The sequence below is a fragment of the Homo sapiens genome, chromosome 16 (genome assembly GCF_000001405.40).
Source record: "Homo sapiens chromosome 16, GRCh38.p14 Primary Assembly".
NCBI lineage: Eukaryota > Metazoa > Chordata > Mammalia > Primates > Hominidae > Homo > Homo sapiens.
In genome coordinates this window covers 61,646,315-61,670,024 of record NC_000016.10, presented here as the reverse complement: position 1 = coordinate 61,670,024, position 23,710 = coordinate 61,646,315, and the positions used below count along the sequence as shown (strand labels likewise).

At 34.9% G+C, this 23,710-nt stretch overlaps 1 protein-coding gene across 3 annotated transcripts in view; it reads left to right on the top strand.

Annotated features, from left to right (window-relative positions):
• The window catches only part of CDH8 (cadherin 8), a 389,189-nt gene extending 366,414 nt beyond the window's left edge, over positions 1–22,775 (top strand). Inside the window, exons 11-13 of one of the 3 annotated variants that reach the window (XM_005255760.5) lie at positions 14,304–14,555; positions 15,924–16,106; positions 22,137–22,765. In XM_005255760.5, coding sequence (XP_005255817.1) covers positions 14,304–14,555; positions 15,924–16,106; positions 22,137–22,183 — 482 coding nt within the window. In that variant the 3' untranslated portion in view covers positions 22,184–22,765. Of the gene's footprint in view, positions 1–14,303; positions 14,556–15,923 lie in introns of those variants that run through there. The other 2 variants (NM_001796.5, XM_047433482.1) reach the window with 2 other exon arrangements.
• The last annotated feature ends 935 nt before the right edge of the window (positions 22,776–23,710 follow it).

Genomic DNA, 23,710 nt, shown 5'->3' with positions numbered 1-23,710 from the left:
TCTGAGATATTGAACATCCAGGCACACTTGCTTAATAGGTAAGTGGGAGAGTCATAAGGCTGAAGTTTTAGAAAGAAACATAGCTTGTTATTTGAAATCAGAATGCAAATCAGGTTAACAGTTTGTAAAGAGGTTAGAGAAAAACGCTAACGAGAAAATGTTATAGAACAGAAAGATGGGAGGTGCAGAGAGATGAAGGACTGCTGTTCTCTGTGTTTTGTCCCGGTAACAAACTAGCTTTTTCTTCTTGACTGAGCCACTCCTTTCTTAAGGCATTCTCTCATTCGTATCTGATGGTAGAAATTTAAATCGAGATACAAATGGCATAGCGGACCACAGTGTATGGGAGCAGAGACTAGAAAGGCAAGGATCACCACAAGAGGATAAACCATCAACTGACTGATATTTTGACTAGTTAGAGTCTGTTTTCTCCTTCTGGGTAAGAAGTTTCTTGAAATGCGTAATCATTTTCCTCACTTACCGAACTATCTATCTGTTCCTTCATCAAGGATTAATTGAAATCTTACCATAGAGATTTCTTTATAGTGACACATATAACAGATTCTAGGATGCACGTACTAAAAAGGCAAACTTTCTGCATCCAAAGATCTTACAGTTGGTGAAACAGAAAAGCAACACACACCACTGTATTGCGGCATGCTGGGTGGGATGTGTGTTGAGGAAGACTTTCCTGTGCCAGTGACGTCTTATAGATAGCAGATGCTAAATAACTGAAGGTGGAATTAATTAAATGTGTCAAAGTAGACTTGAAAGAATTTAAGATGGAGGTATAGCTGATGGCAAGGAAAGTTGGATTTGTACTACATTTGGTGGCTTGCCTGATGAAGCACGTTATGTCTTATTTTCATATGTGTGAATGCAAAATCTTCAGGGAGATCACGAGATTCAACAAAATGATTATGTTCAGGGATATTTGACCTACAAATCAAAGCAAGTTATTTAGAAAACACACTACCTTTGGTACTATAGTTTCTTTCATATCTTCAGCTCTCTATTCACAGTATTAAAGATTTCAATATTTTGAAAACACTGTGTACTTCACTTAAACTAGTGCTTTAAAACAATTTTACTCTTTGGCTCAACTACTCTTTATATCAAATGTGTTAATGAGCACACATTTATAAGCTCAAGTACAAAATGAATTAATCTGTCTTTTTCCAGTTTCTTAAATATTTAGAGGCACCTATTCAATTCATAGAGACATGGTAGGGAATTTGCTCTTCTGATAATGCAAGCTTTCTAATGTCTGGATATTTACCTGCTATTAGGTTGTTTTCTCAAATTGTCACAAGAAATTCCACTAAAGGCCTTGGTGTGTGTTTGTTTTTTTTTTTTCCTAAGTGGTTTATGTGCTGACAAAATGCATTTTTTACCCTTCTTCATAAATCCAAATAGATAAAATATTCTTTCTAGATCTGTTGATATTTATAAAAGCTTTAAAATTTTCATTCAAACACAATAGAAATTGTTTATTGGAATAGTTTTCACTTTAGTGGGTTAGTTAATGCAAGCATTCCTCAGATAAAATGAAAGTAATATTAGTCTTCATCCCTCATTCCCCAATGCCTGAGGTGGAATAAACCTGCCTTTCCTCTGAGCATTAAGGGATCTGCAAAAGGTGCGTGGAGCATTTTGAGTAAGAGCAAGCATACTAATTAAGAGCAGAGAAAAAAATCATCAAACACACCAGACCTTGGGCACTGTGATTGAATCTAGCATGCAACTTGGATTCTGTGATACTTGCATTCCTCTCTCATACCAAAAATGATAACTTTTTCATAATTAATTCATGGTTATGCTCTGCTCTGCTGTGTTATGGTATGCTATGCTCCGTTACGTTGAGGCTCAAAGTATGGAATTTAGATCTATAGAGTATAGTGTTGGATATATTTTTAATCAAATACTATACTCTTGTCCACCAGTTGCCTTGTCCACTTCGCTTTTTGTTGTCTCTAATAAAGGTGTCATAACATGGAAAAACTTCCCTCCATATATGTTTTTCTCTTATCCTTGAGCTTTAATAAAAATGTCTTAGAGTCTATGTTCCCTTGTTTTTTGAGGTAATTTTTGTTAAGGTGACAAAGGCAGAGTGTAGAAAATACACTGAACTAGGTTGTAATTTTTAGCCTCCAGCTGAGAAACCTTGAACATCTCATTTTATCTTTCAAAAACTTTGTTCCTCATAAGTAAAATGGGAATAAGAATGCCTTGCTGTGACTCAGTAAATCATAAATATATGTAATCAGATTTTCTTATTGCATTTATTTTCTAGGGATGCCGTAACAAATAATCCCAAACTGGAAAGTGTAAAACAACAGATGCTTATTCTCTTAGAGTTTCTGGAGGCTGGAAATCTGAAATCAAGGTGTGGGCAGGGCCATGCTCTCCTCAAAAACTCTAGAGGAGAATCCATTCTCTGCTTAAGTTTCATAGATCACTTGATGACTCCTGGGTTTTTTAAAGTGAATAGCACAGCCCACTCTCTGTCCATTTTCACTCCAAAATGACAATCATGCAGATATTTACAGAACTCTACTGCTAGATGGTTACAGTGCAGAAAGAGCCTGCCAAGTGATCTTCTGTATTAAAATGTTCTAATTCATTTTGTGTATAATTGTAAATTGTTGGGTAAACATTCAGTTTGGTGTTAGTCTAGGAACTTCCACAGGAATCCACCATGATGTTGATTTTTTTTTTCCAAAGCCAAAGTGGACCTTGCTCCAATATTTTATGGCTAGATATACCACATTACTAAATATTATAATATTTGGTAATGAGTCAACACTCCAAAAAAATGGAGATTATTGACATCAGGTGGCATGACAGAAAATCTAATGAGAAAATGGAAAGCAGTCACAAATAAGCCAACGATCTAATTAGGTGGCTTAGAATATCCAGTTGCTCGTGGCAGATTTAGTATGTTGGTACACTTTCAATTAATTATGTAGGAAGTTATAATGGTACTGAAGGAGACTGGCTTCACAAAGACTTAGTTTTTATTAATTCATTACACTGCAACTGTTTCCAACAAGACTCATTATTTAGAGTAGAAAGGTATAAATGAAGTGTGGATGCTATAATATTTGTTCATATTCCTAAATATTGGATACTACTGTACATATATCCTTCTAATATGCTGAAAATTTCTGGATTTGGTATTTTTATTGCTTTGCTGGGTTTTTATAAATAAACAACAGACACAACACGGTGATAAGAACTTAATTAAATCTCTTGTCCATACCTACTAAACACAGTGGCATTTTTTTCTTTGTTTTGACCTTCTTATCATTTTTATTTCATTTGACTTAACCAAGAAAATTTGAAATAAATTTGCAAGTCAAATGTCAGGCAACATTTCTCGCAAGGCACAATACCTACTGATCTTCTCTTCATCTATTTATTTTGCCATAAATATTTGCCTGGCAAGTGCCTTCATTAACTCTGCCTCCTTTTTCTTCTTGTTTGCATCTAAAAGGACAACCAAAAGTCATAGCTCAATAATTTTAAATAAATAGGATCTAGTCCAAAGTAACATTTCTGTATCAGGGCAACAGATGAAGTACACTAAAACAAATAGAGAATTTGGGTTTGCCTGTTTTATTCTATCTAAAAAATATGTGGAAAGAACTTGAGATATTTAAACACTAACAGTAATAATAATGGCCAATCCTGTTTTATTAAACATACAAAGAGAATAGAGTATTTCCCTTTTTCATCTGCAGGGGATATGTTCCAAACCCAGACTGGATGCTTGAAACCACAGATAATACCAAACCATATACATATATATATATATACACACACACACACACACACACACACACAGAGTATGTGCTGTGTTTTTTCAACCTGAACCAAAATTATTGCTAAGTGACTAAAGGGCAGGGAGTACATACAGCATGGATATGCCGGAAAAAGGGACGATTTACATCCCAGGTGGGACTGAGAGGGACAGAGAAAGATTTCATCATGCTACTGAGAACAGTGCACAATTTAAAATTTATGAATTGTTTATTTCTGGCATCTTCCATTTCATAGTTTCAGACTATGGCTGACTGTGAGTAACGGAAACCATGGAAAATGAAACTGTGATAAGGGAGGACTACTATAACTGAAAGAAATAAAAGAAAGGAAAGAGGCAAGGAAGGAAGGAAGGAGGGAGGGAGGGAGGGAAGGAGAGAAGGAAGGAAGGAGGGAAAGGAAGGAAGGAAGGAAGGAAGGAAGGAAGGAAGGAAGGAAGGAAGGAAGGAAAATAAATTCAGACTGTGGGATAAATTACACAGATAAAAGTGAAGAGTTATCCAGATAGGCACAGTCTATCTGTTTTTTTTTCTTTAAACTTAAAGTTCTGGGATACATGTGAAGAACGTTCAGGTTTGTTGCATAGATATACATGTGCCATGGTGGTTTGCTGCACCCATCAACCTGTCTTCTAGGTTTTAAGCCCTGTGTGCATTAGGTATTTGTCCTAACACTCTCTCTCCCCTTGCCCCCCACCCCCTGACAGGCCCTGGTGTGTGATGTTTCCCTGCCTGTGTCCATGTGTTCTCATTGTTCAAATCCCACTTATGAGTGAGAACATGCGGTGTTTGGTTTTCTGTTCCTGTGTTAGTTTGCTCAGAAACTCATTTTTTGTGAACTCATTCTTTTTTATGGCTGCATAGTATTCCATGGAGTATATGTGCCACACTTTCTTTAAATAGACTTTTTAATTTTTCATGGACTGTAAGTGTGGGGTATGCAAGGTAGTTTTCATTCTGAGGGATCTTCTCTTTGCTTGTATGTGGCTGAGCCCACATGAGCTCTTCTTTGTGTGCCCACAGAGAGAAACAGCTAGCAGAAGGTCTTTAGTGTCTCTTCTTATAAGGACACTATTTCTCTTGGATTAGAGCCTCACCATTATGACCTTATGTAACCTTAATTACTTCTGTAGAGGCCCCATCTCCAAATGCAGGCAAACTGAGGGTTATAGCTTCAACAGAAGAATTATTTACGTATTTAGTTGATAACGAATACTTCCTTGTTTGCTACAAGAAAAATGATATGTTATATTAATGTTGTGTGAAAGAATATCCCTTGATTTCCAACTCCAAATGCTTCAAGGACGAAATATCAATAATCAAAGAAGAAATTTCTCCTTGACTAACTATAGGAGATAATTGTTCAATCTGTGTGCCCCTCTCTGAATATAGGACTAATATATCCAATTTCACTTCAGTAAAATAGAATTCTGGTATGCACCTCTTTAACATGATGGTATTCTCAATATTTTAATAAAAGTTGGATTTTTTTTCCTCTCTAAAGCCTCTTTCTATCTGAACCTAAGCGCCCTCAGTTTATTGCTCATGTTTCATGATATGAGTCATGCCCAGAGAAAGGCTTGGAAACCATCAATATTTCTCTTAAATTTTCATACACAAACCCAGGATATATATGCTTTCCAATAGCCTGAAATTGAACTCTCCCTCTCTCTGATTTATTTTAAACCACATATAACTATTTACAACAAATAACATGAAGGGAAATAAATTTAAGCCCACAAAATATAGCTTATGGTTACTTATTCATTTATTTATTCAGCAAATATTTGCTGAAAACTCATTATGCATCTGCAATTGGTTATTTGTTACTCGGAAGTTTCTGAGTTTATTTCTGTACCTCTAATGTCTGTCTTATCTCCGTTACTCTATCATTTCTTTGTAATAGTGTTTTGATAAAAATATAAAGATTTTTGTAACATCATGTAACTCATTTATCTGGAGATATTGGGGACAATTTATGAAAGAAATTATACAGAAAGAAGTGATATTTGAGCATCGATATAAAGAATACATACATCTTCACAATTCAAATTATGGCTAAGGGGAGGTAGAGAGATTATCAAGCAGAATAAAGAGCAAATATGAAAGCCCTGAGGAGGGAAGATGTTTGACTCAGAAAAGGCCAGGATATCTGGAACATACAGAGAAAGAAGAGTGGCAGCACATGAAGCTGGAGAACAAGACAGAGGCTAAACCATGCAGACCTTGGGGGAAGAAACTCAAATCTCTAATGTGTAATCAAGTGCAGAAATTCTAAATGTACTCTCTCTCTTCCTTGTTTCCCTCCCCCTCAAGACACACATACACACACATATATATAGTTATACATGTTTATCTATTATCCATTTCTATTTGATATAATTTTTCCAGAATAATGTGTTTACTCAATTTTGGTTTTGTTCGGTAACAGGAATTCTTATAAGATTAGAGAGATGGATAGATAGGTAGTTAGGTATGTAGACAGACAGATAGATATTCATTGCTGTCTCATTTTCTAACTTTTAAAAATATTTCTTAGTTCTAATGAATCAGTTAGGTGTTCAGTTCCTTAAAACTGAAACCATTCCAAATAGAAGTGGGTTAAACAATGGTACCAATGTTATGAGGATTCCTGCTCTATGCCAAGTCCTGTGCTACAGACTGGGAGTAGAACTGTGACTAAGGCAAGTCGGCCTCAAGGGGCTTATATTTTAATGAAATAAAACATATACATTTTATTTAACAGTATCTATTTTTTTCTAAAACTTCACAAGAGTAATGCATAAACATTATAAAGGATTAATTGTAAGATGACTGCCTTTAGCATTGTCTCATAACATTCAGTAAAAACCTAACAAATTACTTGAAAAACACAATTACACAAAACTAAGAATAAAACTAAATATTTTTGTTCATAATCAATCTGTTATCATAATCTGAATAAAAGTTCATACATATTTACATAACTGTACTCTGCTGCCTGAAACTAAGCAAGTCTACGTACTTGAAAAGAGCTCTTGTTCATTTGGTCTCTTCTTTACTATTTACTTGGCACATACCTTGTATTTCTCAGCCAAGGAGAAGGAAACTCAATTCTACTACCACTTTAGGAATATTGTCATTGGATGCATGACTGGTGCTCTTAGCCCACTTTAAGTCCCCATGAAGATCTTTTGTACAAAAGTCAGTCATAAACAACTGGGTATGAAGAATAAAGCAAGCTCCTGAAAATTGAGTTTTTCTTTTTTCTTGGTATATTATTTATCTGTAAAGCATTACAAAAGAATGAGGAAACAGGAAAATCCCTAACTGGGAGAAATGATGGGGAATATGAATACATTTGCTTATTGGTATAGACTGGGGATTGGTTCCTGTGGATATCAAAATCCATGGGTGCACAAAGTCTCTTACATAAAATGGCATAGTATTTACACATACTCTATGTACATCCTACCATATACGTCTAACCACCTCTAGATTACTTATAATACCTAATGCAATATAGTTACTATATATAGATATAGTTGATTGTATTTTTAATTTGCATTGTTTTAATTATTATATTGTTATTCTTTATTTTTTTAAGTATTTTCTATCCACTAGAGAATTGCAATTGATACTGATCGGCCCATTTCTTAAATTGATCTTGTCAGCATATCCTTCTATCTTTTGGAAACTGTTGTTTTACCCTCAACTTCAAGAGATTTCTTTTTTTAAAATAATGTAGTATGTAACTATGGATTCAGTGATCATTTCCTCTCTTTTTTCATATATTTTTTACTTCTAGAAAAATTTCTCTCTTGTATCTAACATCTCATTATTAGGACACACTCTCTGTTTACTCTGCTCAAAAAGATAAAACAAATGCAATAAAAACAATAAGCGGAAGCTATAAGGGGAGAGGGCAGGCTAAGATTCAGAGACAAGAAGATGATACACAATGAAAACATGAAAGACTGAAAAGAAGATTGTTGAATAACGTATGAGTAAAATTGAAGCCAAGTTTAGAGGTAGTGAACAGCCAAGATACTATCACTTATATGACTGTTCTTTCCTTTTACACTATTGACAGCAAATAAAACAAACAAACAAATTAACCAAAAAAAAAAAAAAAAACTAAAGTAAAACTAAAGTAAAAAAAAAAAAGAGTGCATGTAAACAGACAATTAAAAAATCTTCCAAGAAACACCATTGATCCTCTTCCCAATTGTTGAAAGTCAAAAGGCTTTTTCTTTTTTAAAAAAATCAGAAACAAAGTAAAGGTGCCTACTATAACTTCTTGTACTCAAAATTGTATTAGAAGTTCTCATTAGTGTACTAAGATTTTTTTTAAAAAATGAAAACAATAATACTTGAAAAGGAATGAATAAAATCCTTTATTTGCAGAGAATGTGTGACTATATAGAAATACCCCCAATATGATCAGATATATTTTTCTATTCCCTATTTTACTAATTTGCTCTTTAAATCCTTATTTCCTTTCTTCTGATTGCCTTAGGCTTATTTTGCTCTTCTTTTTATATGGCTGATGGTGAAAAATTAGGTTATTGATTTGAGAGCTTTCTGCTTTTTTAATACAGATATTTAAAGCTATAAATTTCCCTCTAAGGACTCACTTAGTTGCAACTCACACATTTTGATTCATTGTATCTTTATTTATATTTGTTTCATAATTTTTTTAAATTTCCCTTTTGCTTTCTTCTTTGATCTATTGGCTATTTAAGAGTGCATTATTTAATTTCTACATGTCTATGAGTGTCCCAAATTTCTTCCTATTATTAGTTTCATTCCACTGTGGTCAGACAACCTACTTTGGATTAGTTCTATCATTCTATCATGTATTGAGGTTTGTTTTATGGCCTAGCATATAGTTCACAGTGCAGACTGTTCTAAGTTCACTTAACAAGAATATTTATTATACAGTTGTTGAGTGTTCCACAGTGTTAGGTATAGTTTGTATTGTTTTTCAAGTCTTCTACCTTCTACCTTGATTTCTGCCTCGTTGTTTTATTTATTATTGAAAGTGAGATATTAGAGTATGCCACTATTACTTTTTAATTTCTAGATATTTTATGCTCAAAAAATAGATATTTTATGCTGAAAAACATAATTGTTTTATACAATTGCTTTGTAAAACAGTTAAGACAAAAAAGGAGAAAAACTATGCATTTATATTGTCTTTTTTAAGTAGATACTTATTGTCTCTGATACTCTTTTTATTTTTAATGTGGATTTGAGTCACCATCTGGGGTCATTTGCTTTCAGTCTGAAGACAACTTCCTTTAGTATTTCTTAGTAAACATGCCTGCTGGTGACAAATTCTCTCATTTTTTTGTCCATCCGAGAATATCTTTATTTCATATACATATTTATTTTGAAAGATAGCTCTGCTGAATATGATTGTTGGTTGACAATTTTTTTCCTTGAGCATTTTGAATATGTTATCCCACGTCCGTCTGGCCTTCATTGTTTCTATGAAATTTTTGCTGTTAAGTGATGAGTCAATTTTCTCTTGTTTTTAACATGTTCTACTTGGTTTTGGCTTTCCGTGTTTTCACTATGATGTGTCTATTTATGAATATCTTTGTGTTTGTGTTCTTGGAGTTCCCTGAGCTTTCTGGATGTATAGACTATTTTTTTTAATTCAGGTTTTCAATGATATTTTTTCTGTTTCTTTCTCCTTCTCTTCCCCTAGTACACTCACTGCACATTTGTTGGTGCACTTAATGGTGTTATACATTTTTTTGAGGCTCTGCTTATTTCTCTTTATTCTTTTTTTCTCTCTATTCTTTAGTTTGTGTACTCTTTATTGTTCTATCTTTGAGTTCACTAATCATTTCTTTTGCCAATTCAAGTCTACTGTTTAGTCACTCTAGTTAATTTTTTATTGTCCCTCTCATGGGCTTTTTCTTTTTGCCAGCTGTTTTTCTGCTGTGGGTCATATTTTCTTCATTCTTTGCATGTCTCATAATCTTCTGTTGGAAACTAGGCATTTTAGATAATATAGCAAAACTGGGAACTGTCCTCTGAAGGCTTATTTTATTTGCTTATTTGTTTAATGACTGGCTGGGTTGTTTTAGTGAAGTCTATTTCCCCCTCTGTGGTATTAAACCCATGATGTTTCACTTCAGGGAATCTCAAGCATGGGTATGTCCACAGTCACTTTAGAATTACAATTGTTTGGGCAGGGCTCTCCTTGATTGCCTTTTCCCCTGACCATGTCTAGCTGTTGAATTCCACTAATTTCCAACAGGATTTCTGTATTGTTTGTAAGGCTGCCTTGGAACCTAAATTACTCTACAGACCAGTCCATTCAAATTTGATCTCCTTTGAAAGAATAGTTTCCTAGGTCAGAGTTTCAGATTAGTTCTGACCCAAGTGGGCTCCAGAGGCTCTCTCTTTCCAAGATTCCCTGCTTTCCACCCCCCTGGGCAAAATCCTGAGCTATTGGCTCTGGAGCTGGTGTGAAGATTATGGCATGTTTCTCTGAGGGACAGCTAAACCTTAGGGCAGAGCATATGATGCTGGGGGAAAAAATAGCCTCAAGTCTTTTTGGCTTGCCTCTCCCAGTGTACGGTGGGCTAGAGAAAGGGCGATTGAGGCTCCATATTCTCAGTGGCACAGTGCCCAGCTAGAGCCTCTCTCCCATGAGTAGGGACCAGGAGGAAGAAAAGAGTCCCTGCCTCTTGACCATACTGACTTAGAACTTAGCTTGAACAGTAAGTAACTAGGAACAGAATGAGAATGTCTGACGTCCCACCTTTCCCCCAGAAAATCGTCCTCCAACTGCTCGCTGCAGGGAGAGGGACCCCTGTGTTCTTGGCTAAACCAGTTTGGAGTAAAGTTTCTACCTCACTGAGCTGAGACAAGGAAGGATGGGAGTGGGTTCTTGTTCATGCACCAGAGTCTTACCATTCTTACCAAGCTCTAGTCGATTTTCTTGAATAAATGGTTCTTTATTTGCTGCTTGCCTCCAGATCCATTTCCAGAATCTTTAAATGTTTTTCCATTTATAATTTTCACCAGTTTCACTGGAAAGCACATCTGTAGAGCTCCTTTTCTATCATGCTGAAATGGAATTCTCTAATAAGATTCGCTTTTATAAATAAAAAGAAAGTCTTAGAAGATTGCTGAAGCTAAAATCAATGTATAAGACAATTAAATTTTATATACCAGCAGCAGTGAGTTGAAAATATATTTTTAAAAAGGTAACTAAATTTTAAACAGGTTTACTATCACAATAAACTATATACAGCAGCAAAAATAAATCTAACAAAAGATGTGGACATTTTTATAAGCTAAAAACATTTCACTGACATATATTGAAGAACATTAAGAAATAACTCTCTTAATATAGAAAACTGATGATAAAGATGTAATTATTTCAAAATTGGTTAATATTTCAATATAACTTCTACCAAGTTTCTTATAGGAATTTTTATAAAACTTTATAATCTGATTCTATATTTTTCCAAGAATAGCAAATGAACAATAATAGCCAAAATATTCTTAAAGAACACGGTATGAGAAAATGCTGTAACCAACACCAAGATTTATGATAAAGTTTTCATACATAAGAAACAGGGTATTCATGGAGGGTTAGAGAATCAGATTATTGAAACAGAATAAAGACCTCTTAAAAGAATGAGGATGCATAAAAATTTCATTTGTGAGAAATGATCTTTGATGATCAGTAGGTAAGTTATAAGTTACTCCATAATTAACATTGAGAAACTCAATTTTTAGTATAGAAAACAATCGAATTAATACAACAACCAAAAAATAATTTTATATAATTAAGAATTTTTAAAATAAGTCTTGAAAACACTAATTATAAGAGATTGGCAAAATAAACTATATTAAATTCAAAAATTTAAATGAAATGAAAAGGCATCATGAGTGTTACAGCAGAAACCACAACTTTGTAGAAGATATTTACAACATTTAAGATATAAAAAATTATTCCAAGAACAGTAATTAGAGCTTTGTGAAACTGCTAATATTCTATGGTTTTTGATGTGTAAAATAATGGCAATTTCATTCAGCCTAATGAAAGAACTCAAGTAAATTGAAAACAAATACAATTACCAATCCAAAAATAGAAACAAAAACAAAAACAAAAATAGATGAGTAGGTAAAAAAGGAATTGATGTTGCCTGGAACTGGCAGGTAAAATTTAGCAAGAATAACTCATAGATTTTCTTTACTCAGTCAACAGTCTTCTGCGTGTAGAAAGGAGAGCAAGATAGGCAAATTCCAGGATTAGTAAAAAAATATTTATAGAAGTATGAATTTAGTGTTAGACCCACCAATGCTTTTCTCAGTAGTAAAGAAGATAGCTTTGTTCTGCAGCAAGCAATATTCCTGCTGCAGTTTCTAAATTATTATAATAGTCTGTTACAAAAGGAGAATATGGAAAGATTGTTTCTCATAGAAATGTCAACCACAAAAAGACAATAGCCTCATTTCAGTTTTATTAATTGTTCCTTGAAGAACAAATTCTATCTTTTGTTTTGAACTATCATGTATAAAACCATCCAGAAATGTTCTTTGTACTAATTAGCTGTACTCAAACTTGTCACATACTTTCTGAAAATATAACACAACTATATATTCTATATCTGTTTTGAGATAATGTTCCTTGCTTTTAGCTTACTGGTATTTCCATCTAGGTCATGACAATAAAGATTACTGGATCATTTGGTATATAACTGCTTAACTCCATTAGAAATCTCTTTTTCTCAGTATATTCAAATTACTATATAATGATGTACAACCAGAAGAAGTTCAGAAAACAATTGTTAAATCAGAGTGCTTTTTCTATTTGACTGCTTATTAGAAAAGCATTATAGGCCTGTTTATATCTTAAACAAAGCAAAATTAAATATAACTATATATCCATTTTGGAGAATGGCTATCAATTTTTGGAAATCCTAGTATAGTGCTATATGGTACAGTAGTTTTCCAAAACTTATTTGAAGTCATCTGAATGGGATATCTCACTTAGTTAAGTATTTTGGAAACCAATAGGATACTGATGATCAGAAATTGGATGGCAATGGTTTGGAATCATTACTATTACATGCAATGATTAGGTAGCCCTGTGTTCGGGGGTCTATAATTGGCCAATATTTGAAAAAAAAAAAACAAATAATTATTTTGCCCAAATAACACTAGGCACTTAGTAACCAAAATTGTGTTTATTTGCTTTTGGCTGTAATATCAGTGAGAGTTAATCAGCATTTCCATTTTGAGTAAATGTATATCTTTCAGTAATCAACATGAGAAAGCAGGTTAGCAATTATTATATACAATGTGACTGCAATTCATGAGATGAGGATGAATGACAACAAAATATTTCAACTTGGGGGTGAAAGTTTGAGAACTGTGTATCTAATGTGGGACCAATCACTTCTCACTGACCAGTTTTACTTTGAACTGAAGTATATTCTTAAGTATTGCTTAACTGTTGCTCCAGACAACCAGTATATATCTCCATATAATTAACCGACACCTGCAAAATGGATCACATGCTTTTATGACTTCTCATTTTGTTCTTATTATGTAACCACTATAGATCTTCTCTACAGAATTTTAATGTATGTGGCATATCTCCTCCGGGTAGTAAATAGGGCTTTTGCTGTATCTTAATGTGAATGCTCTAGGCCATGAATGACCTTCTTTTTAGGTACTTGTGGGAATCAACAAAGTGCATTGTTTTGCAACTGTGTTGTCATACAGTCTATCTTTTAATACAGAGCTTCTCAAACATGTGTTTCAAATATGATGACATTTTATTCAATCAAATTTGCTTAACCTATTATCAGGCTAAATAAAGAAAATAAAGCTTATATATGGTATATGGAGATGAGATAATATATGTCTTCGGAAGGGACACTTAAAGATTATTTTTGTAAAAGAAATATTTTGCATTTTTAAGGTGATGACGGTAAAACTCCGTTGGTCCGTCAGGGGGTCCCATTCATTCAACCTGTTATGGTTGTCCTGGTCCATGCTGATTGAAAAAGCGCAGGCCGGGCGCAGTGGCTCACGCCTGTACCCCCAGCACTTTGGGAGGCCTAGGCGGGTGGATCACGAGGTCAGCAGATGGAGACCATCCTGGCTAACACGGTGAAACTCCGTCTCTACTAAAAATACAAAAAATTAGCCCGGTGTGGTGGCTGGCACCTGTAGTCCCAGCTGCTCGGGAGGCTGAGGCAGGAGAATGGCGTGAACCCGGGAGGCGAAGCTTGCAGTGAGCCGAGATAGCGCCACTGCACTCCAGCCTGGGTGACACAGCGAGACTCCGTCTCAAAAAAAAAAAAAAAAAGTGCGGAGACGAGTCAGGGAAAAAGCCTGAGCAGTCCTTTGAAGTCGGGATTGTCTTGAGGTTTGCAAAGGGTTCATGAACTAGAAAAACAAGTGTTATTTGGAGAGTCATTTTGAAATGATGCAAATTATTGTAATTTTTACTTTTTTCAGATAATTCCCTCAGTATTTTGGCAAAGCATAATGGATTCAACCGCCAGAAGCAAGAAGTCTATCTTTTACCAATCATAATCAGTGATAGTGGAAATCCTCCACTGAGCAGCACTAGCACCTTGACAATCAGGGTCTGTGGCTGCAGCAATGACGGTGTCGTCCAGTCTTGCAATGTCGAAGCTTATGTCCTTCCAATTGGACTCAGTATGGGCGCCTTAATTGCCATATTAGCATGCATCATTTTGCTGTTAGGTACGTATTTCCTTCATAGCCTACCGGTCACCCTTTTTCTGATTCATAAATGACTGTAAATAAGGACAGAAAACTCTGATCTACACAGGCAAGAGCATTCCGTTGGGGAAGAGGAACTTCCTTTCCTTCTCCACATTTTGAGATCTCTAATAAGTGAAGAGAAAAAGGGTTGTGATAGTAAATGTCCAAATGAAGAGGACTTTCAGTGCCTTTTTCAATTCCATCACCAATAAAGCGATGAACAAGGCATAATGGTGGTGGCAGTGGAGAAGGGCTTTTACGTCGTTACAACACCATCTAGTGCATAAGAAGAACTCTGGGTGTGAGGCACACCAGTTCACTGCAACAGCAGGCTCTACTATGTCCACAATAGTGTTTCATTGTAGTTTGGGTTGCTGAGTCCATCGGATCCCAAATTTGGTGATATAAAAAGAAAGCAAATGAGCAAACTAAAAATAAGTTTTCTTCAAAATACCATTGCATTTCTCTGATATTTTCCTTCATATAAACATCAATTTAAAATGATGATTGCAAATTAAGATTCTATAACCTTTTAATTAAAAAAGTCCAATTATAACAATGCGATTATACAGTAGGAAAATAGAAAAACATGAGAGTCGTATCTTATACTACCCTTGAGGAACAAAACACCATAAAGACGGTATCAGTTACTGTCTTTCTTGTTCCATCTGTCTTTCTCACCCAGTGTCTTGGATTTAAGCATCACTTTGATGACATATTTTGCTCCATTAGCCCACATTTGATTTGGCCCATCTGACTAGTTGGGTATGTTTTCCTTGCCCTTTTCTCACATTCAGGTTTCTCTTCCCAGCTAGAGGCATTCCAGCCCTCCCACAAGACAAGTTGCCCATGCAAATTTGACATTCACTTTTTTATAAAAGAACATAATTTAATTGGAGAGTGCCTTGAAAAACTGTGAAAGCCCAAGGACCTAGTTTACTCCTTTTTTTTTAATAGAAGGGAGCTTTGGAACCAAAGGATGTTAAAGGACTTGCTTGAAACACATATCAAGCTAGTCATACTTTCAGTGCTATTTTCTATTTTGTGCCACTCACTCTAATGATCATAAAAGCATAAAATGTAACTTTCACCATGAATACATGCATGCCAATTCTTTTAACCCAGCTCTATCACCATTTAATAAGCCAATAATCTGGAACAGTATTTACTCAAAATTTAATGTTCATCCTTCAGAAAGATGTTTAGCTTAATTTTCTAGTAAATATTATTAAAGGTGTATGCTCATACAATTTTGTAAAAATACCCCTCTCTCCTAACATATATAGTGTGTTGCTTGTGAAATTATATGCTTGTTTGGCTGACTGTTATTTAATATTTTTCCTCTAGTCATCGTGGTGCTGTTTGTAACTCTACGGCGGCATAAAAATGAACCATTAATTATCAAAGATGATGAAGACGTTCGAGAAAACATCATTCGCTACGATGATGAAGGAGGAGGGGAGGAGGACACAGAGGCTTTTGACATTGCAACTTTACAAAATCCAGATGGAATTAATGGATTTTTACCCCGTAAGGATATTAAACCAGATTTGCAGTTTATGCCAAGGCAAGGGCTTGCTCCAGTTCCAAATGGTGTTGATGTCGATGAATTTATAAATGTAAGGCTGCATGAGGCAGATAATGATCCCACGGCCCCGCCATATGACTCCATTCAGATATATGGCTATGAAGGCCGAGGGTCAGTGGCTGGCTCCCTCAGCTCCTTGGAGTCCACCACATCAGACTCAGACCAGAATTTTGACTACCTCAGTGACTGGGGTCCCCGCTTTAAGAGACTGGGCGAACTCTACTCTGTTGGTGAAAGTGACAAAGAAACTTGACAGTGGATTATAAATAAATCACTGGAACTGAGCATTCTGTAATATTCTAGGGTCACTCCCCTTAGATACAACCAATGTGGCTATTTGTTTTAGAGGCAAGTTTAGCACCAGTCATCTATAAACTCAACCACATTTTAATGTTGAACCAAAAAAAGATAATAAAATAAAAAAGTATATGTTAGGAGGTTATAAATCTTGTGGAGTGTGAATTAAGTATGTGGAGTGTCTAGAAGTCCTTGGATATTTGATATTTACCTGACCACCACAGACAAAGATTGGGATCCTGGCTAATCCTTAGATAAATGGTTTAAATAGAGGAAAAAATCATAATTAAAAGGTGCTTTCTTAGAAAAAAAAATACGGACCTGCAAGGAATCTGCTGCTGATATGTGTCTTCTGCAAGGATTTTTATGAATGCAAATGGTTTTTTCCCCTTCACCAATAAGGATCCCGCCACAAATGATAAAGCAATACTTGGTCTGCTGTACATTATAACTTTTTGGAGTTTTGAGAGGCCTCCTAGATTATACAGTACGGTGACCACACATTGTACATAATTGTTGGCCCCACTCACTAGAGACTGAATAGCATCTTTAAATATTGTGTCGAGCCTTAAAATATTCACATGTTCGTAATCCATTCCAGGGTGGGGCTTGCCAATTCAGTGGTGGGAGGAGAGAAATCCCATTCAAACATGCTTGTTTTCTAGAAGCAGGATTCCTCGTTCCCTCCTCTTCATCTTCTTCCACAAGGACACAAAGATAAACTGTATCACACAGTGGACTACATAAGAGACAGATGGTTTTATTGCTAGCGCGTGAATTTATTTGTTTAATCCTCGAAATAAATATTTTATTGATGTCCATTAATGCTTTTATTTATTAAGGTCGGTAATCTATAGATTAAGGGGATATATGGGAAAAAACTAAATTATATCCATTAATAATCCTTTAGATTGTTTTATATAAATATATATACAATGAATGTTTAATACATGTACATTTTGATGAGATGAGTATGGCAGGCAATATTATCGAAAGGAGAGCTAATAGTCTCTTTAGAGTAGAAAGTGTTATTGTAACTGGAGATGGCAGGAACAGCATCTTCCCAGACAAACTTTTGGACTGTTTTCTATTTTGTTCATAATCCTAGTATTTGGTGTTTTTACTACAAGCACAAACATCCTAAAGTATATTGATTCCTGTGAATATTTAAACTCTAGACTTTTAGATACCTACATCATGCCCTGCCCAATAAACATGCTTCAATTTACCCCCACAGTTTTAGAGCAGGAACTGATTTGTACATAATTTCACTGTTTACGTTTTTAGCACTCCTATCCCTGATCTTCATGGTGATGCACAGAATGTCTTAGACTCCAAAAAGGAACAGCACTAGAAGATGTGAGCATATTTAATTTGTAATGCAAACCTGCCATTTAGGAGTAGAAAATGTATGATAAAACTCAAGTATTACATGCAGATCATTTTAATTTTCTACTTTGCTTTAATGCAATATTGTTTATTCACTCCATGTATTGTATTCAGAGAAACTCCTGTATTGTTTCCTACTTTGTGAAATATATTTTTATAAATACCTTTGTTGTCATTAATTTTTTTTTCAATCAGTGGAAGATCTATTAACAGAATCATCAACTCAAACTAAAATTCTAGAATACTCAACCAAATCATCCCAAGGGTCACTTTTGTTTGTAAGACTCTTTATTATAGAGAAACAGAGAAGAGAAATGGCTTGCCAGTGATCACACAGCAAGATACCAGCAGGGACATAAGAGGAACATGGAACACCTAAAGGCTAGTCCAGCTGTGTCATTTGGGTCCTTCTGGAAGCAGACGCATTGGGCAGGGAAAACCTTCAGACAAGTTTGCAGACCTAAAACTTGTAACAATAGAGGGATTGGGAGCAGGATTTGGCAAGAGAGTCTTAGACTGCAGTGCGGACCTGGCAAAATCTCTGCCAGTCTGACAGGGGGTTCTAGAGTGAAAACACATCCATTAAAGCAGTCAGGCTGTGGTCCTCTGTCATCTCAGTCATTGGTGCGGGGCTGCTAAGAAGAGAACGGTTTTTGACTCAAAAGCTGAACGCACCAACTTCTAGAGGCCACCTTCACTGTGACAGAAACTGCATGTTTAAATACTATACTAACAATTTATAACTATCCGGTGGCTTAATCAACTTTTTATTGAGTTTCTGTTGCTGAGAATAAGTCATCTTTTATGCGTATTATTACGGCTAGTGAACACTTTTTCTTGAGGTCAAAGGGATGGTCCAACATGACTTTAAAATATACTAGGACTTGGCACAGTGTCTAAAACAAGTGCTTGGTGAATGTAAATTATTAGTAGTAGTTGCAGTAATAACCAATAGTAATATTCCAACTATCTTACACCTTCCAAACCAAGGAGAGATTATTATGTTTTATGTATCTCTTGAACACCAGACTCATTTCTAGTGTACTTTGAAGTGCCCAAAGATTATAGACACACAAATATGTCTAACAGAATAATTACAGTATTTTTTAAGGAGTATAAAATCTGTATCCTCAAATATTGGTAATCAACAGGATAATCTTCGTACAGTGGTTTCTGTGAGCAGGAGATAATGTCTGCTCTACTAGTTGCCCAAATATCGCCTAAGTATTCTCTTTGCCTAGGAACACAGAATGAAAGCTTGCATCTCTTGCTGACTTTCTTTGCCACCACAGTGTCAGCATTTTGTGTTTAAAAGCCTATTTCAGGTCTTGTAACATAGAATAAAGTGACTAATACCTTGATCCTAATAAGATTGACCTATACTTTTAGAGTGTCATGAATTAAACTAAAAATCTCAGGAACTATCTCTCTCTTTCTCTCTTTCTCTCTCTCTCTCTCTCTCTCTCTCACACACACACACACACACACACACACACACACACAACAAACAAATAAAAAACACACATTTTGACTTGAAGTTTTACTTTAGCAATAGACTTGCCAGGACTTTCCCAACCAAAAGATATCAATAAGGTTCCTAACATTTTCTAAGATTTAAGTATCCCATGCTCAATTTGTTAAATAACACATTTTAAAAACTTTATTGAAATGACTATATTTTTAAAGCTATGTGCATTGTTGTCTGTTTCATCAACATTGACATAGCAGAAACAAGAGTACTCTCTGCTAAATAGAGAAGAATGATTAAGTTGGAGCCAAGTGAGACAAAGTTATCTCCCTCTGCCTACCTCACAATTCAAGGTTCCCACCTAGGGAACTGATGCATCCCTGGGTGATTGGACACAACATGGGATCAATTCAGCCTCTACTCTGCCTATGATTTGATCAAATCATATTAGCAAAGTGTCTCTTAAACATCCATATATGAATATTAAAGAGTATTAAGGGGGGCATTTCTTAACAATATTTTTATGAGTATAGTTATAAGTTTCTAAACATTTATAATACGATGACTAAAATATGCTATTTTTAAATTCAAGTGTTAACCTTGCCACACAGAATTATGACTTCTAGGGTGTAAACTTTAAAGTGAAACTGTTTTGAAAAAAATCTGCAGTTAAGTGTATGTGTATATATAGAAGAAAAGGAAACTTAGATTTACTGGTATCACCAGTGAAGCAAGAATGCTTAGAAAGATACAAATGTGTCTTTGGGAGAGTCTGCTTAATCAGATGCTTAAAGTAAGACAAGTCTCTGCATGAGACTTAGAAATCTCCTAGGAGCAGCTGGATTCCACACTGAGACTCAACAGAGTTCTGGGCTATGCTGTATTTTGGAAAAGGAAAAGCGGGTGCTGAGAGCTAAGTAGCCAATTACTCTTTATAGCCACATAAGGACTGAAGGCAAGTAGGCCCTTCCAACAAGTTGTATTATGCGATCACTGGCTTTGCAGGGAATCTCACGAATGTATAACCTTCTGATTGCCTTTTTGATTGAAAGTTCCATCTGAGATCAGGGCAGTGTAACCAGTAATAAGATTTCAAAAAAATCCCATCACTGGCACTGTCGGAAAGGCTGAGCATGACTGAAATCCTATCATTGTCAGTCAAAAAGATAAGGTAACAGCGGGCATCACTATAAAAGCTCTATAAATGCACAACTTAAACATGAATATCAACATTAAAAAGAATATATATATCCTTATACATATATTTATAAATATATTCATATATATAAATATGCACATATATACACAATTCAGTTACTGGGGATAATTTATAGTTTTAATTTTTCATCTCATAATCTCACGCACTGCCAACAAATTGAAATTGTGGCTCTCTGTTTTCATGAATCTAACCTTGAATTTGAAAGAAGTTGAATTGAGGGTAAAGGGTTTTAAAAGCAGCTTTTTATTTGTGAACAGAATAATGGCTCATAATACCTGGGATTAGAATTAAATATGTCACGTTGTGAGGCTGTACTTAGACTTTTTAAATGTCATTGTATTTTTTTGTGGACAAAATAATTGTAGAATATACTTTGCAGGAAATACTTTTCTATATTTTTTCAATTTCAATACTGTTTTATTTGCTATAAAAAGTGTCTTTGCACTGTTACTCAGCCAAACAGTGTTGAATGTATTATTTGCCCTTGTAATTATTGCTTCTTATGATAATTGTAGAAGAGCATGTCTTTATGATCTATCATTTAAAAATACATTTATTGTCATTGTAGTTTTAGTCAACACAAATTTATGGATTACATGGTATACTGTTGCTATTGAAGATATTCTAGTCCTAGTATTTTGAGCACAGACCTAGCGTTATGGAGGACATAAAATTTAAAAATTTCCTGACTTGATGGACTATCTGAGGAAAAAGAATTTTGTCTGTCACATTTATTGAGTATCTATCAGTACAGAAATTAAGCTACATGGTTGATACAGAAAGATTAAATACAGTAGCATTCTCAAACTTATTTTCTTTATTTATAAAATGTACCTAATCAATCTCATAAGAACTAATTGTTGAATTTTTTTTTTATCTATGGATAAATACTATTTGAGTCTGGGTTTAAGTTTGGTTGATCTGACACTAAATCCCCTTAACTTTCAACTAAACAGTTATCTCTGTAATTATGAGACTTTTGATGATAAGAAATAGAAACTAAGTTATATATAGTGCTATGGAAGTACTGAGGAGGAAGTAAGGGACCCCATATGGGAAGACTCAAGAAGACGTCACGGTGAAATTTTCCAAAAAGATGGGAACTCAAGAATGGGTGCAACAGAAATCACAGCTTTTCCAAATACTAAAAGGGAAAATTATAAAAAGCACCAATGGCACACTTTTGGACATTCAGAAAGATCCAGAAATTAGGTGCTTATAGGAAACTCTAGGTTTGCCAAATTGTAGTGTTTTATGGATAGGAAAAATGAAGTTCAGAAACGTTATAAGGAATTTTCAGGGTTAAATTACACATCAAATATGTGAGAGAAACAGAAATTACATGCTGGTATTTGGGGTCATCTCCTGAGTTGTAATGTTGTAAGTGTTTTTGTATGTATTCTCCTCCTTCCTTTATGTGTGGAAGTTTCATCTAGGTCTCAAGGTTAGTAGGCATTTGCTGGTGAAAATAGTGCCTTTGGGTACTATTTCCCCAACTTGAGTTACCTGCCACCATCTAATTCACATCTTGAATGCAAGTATTATTTCTTGCAAGTATCCCTACTAATAGATAATAGATATTTCTATTATTATCCACAGATTACAGAAGAGGGTTGCTAGGAGGAATATCACAAGATGCTGTCTGAAGAGAAAGACTGTGGAAAACCATGGCTTCAATGAACTCAGAGGTCAGGACCAGAAAAGGAAATGAGAGGTCACCAAAGCCAAATGTTAATTTCTTGGGATTTCTTCTGTACATGCAAAGAACTTCAGGCCATCCTATGATTCCTCAAAAATAAGAGGAAAATTTTAACAATTATGCTCTAAGATGGACCATGACAATTTAGGAGTCATTGGGATCACCCCCCAAAGCCAAATGTTAATTTCTTGGGATTTCTTCTGTACATGCAAAGAACTTCAGGCCATCCTATGATCCCTCACAAATAAGAGGAAGATTTTAACAATTATGCTCTAAGATGGAACATGACAATTTAGGAGTCACTGGGATCACCCCCCCCACCTTTCCAACGTTACTCTGCTTTAACTACAAATATGTCGAATGGTTTTCTAATTTTTCTTTAACTTAACCTCTAAAGTTCGAGAGCTGTCATCTTTGTCAAGTCTGATTGTTGAGTATGTGAATGGATGTTTTTGGCTCAATGTTAGAGCCAAAATTTATAAATAATAATTATTTATACATAATGATATTGCAAATAAACTTTAAGAAAGAGCTTTAAACATAAAAATTCTTTTCTATAAAATACATACTAGGTACTATGCTAGTAACAGTAAAAGGATATACCCAACACACTTCTCTTGCCTTTCAAGACATGGAATTAAATTAGATAAATTATAGAAGCAAATGAATGATAAAACATTTGATTTGGCTATCCTGTGGAAGAACTGAGCAGACAGTGTTTTTAAAGCACAGAGAAAGAATATTTATCTAAGTCTACCAAGACAAGATATCTTTCTTGAGGCTGTGTTAGAATGAGTCCTGGAGGGAAGCAAATCTTAGACAGGGAGTATCAAAAAGTAATGCTAGTTTGAGGTCCTGACACCTGAAAATAAATGGTGATGTGAGGGGATCTCTCAATTGGCTTCATTATTGTGTTTCTCAATGTATGAAATTCTCCAAGTTACAAAAACAATCAGTATCCTTATTTATTTAAGAAATACGTACCAAAGATTTCCCATTCATTTGGGTGCTGGGAATACAGCATTGAAAAGACAGAGAAGGTTTTTTTTTTTTTTTCAAAGAGCTGGTAAAATGGAAGAAATGTAAATAAATGGAAATAAAAAAAACTTGATACGATAGAACAAAACAGATGGATGGGAAACTAAATGTTTTACTTACAGTGGACAGAATGATATTTGAGTTGCCATGTGAAGTTTTTGTAATCAAGGAAAACCATAGTAAAGGGTTTGGGAATGTTTATGTTAGTTGTTCTGCTGGACTGAATCAGTGGCATATACAAGAATGAATATGAGGTCCAGATTATAGTGGTTAAAGGTGAAAGAGATGCAACAGATGTGGAAACCTGGGAAGAGACCATATTATCCAGGTTCTTGTCAACCAAGATAAGAAGCTCATGTTTACTTAATGTAAAAGAGAAGGCAATTGAAGGGATCTAAAAGCTGGGGTATGATATGATCTGATTTCTATTTTAAAA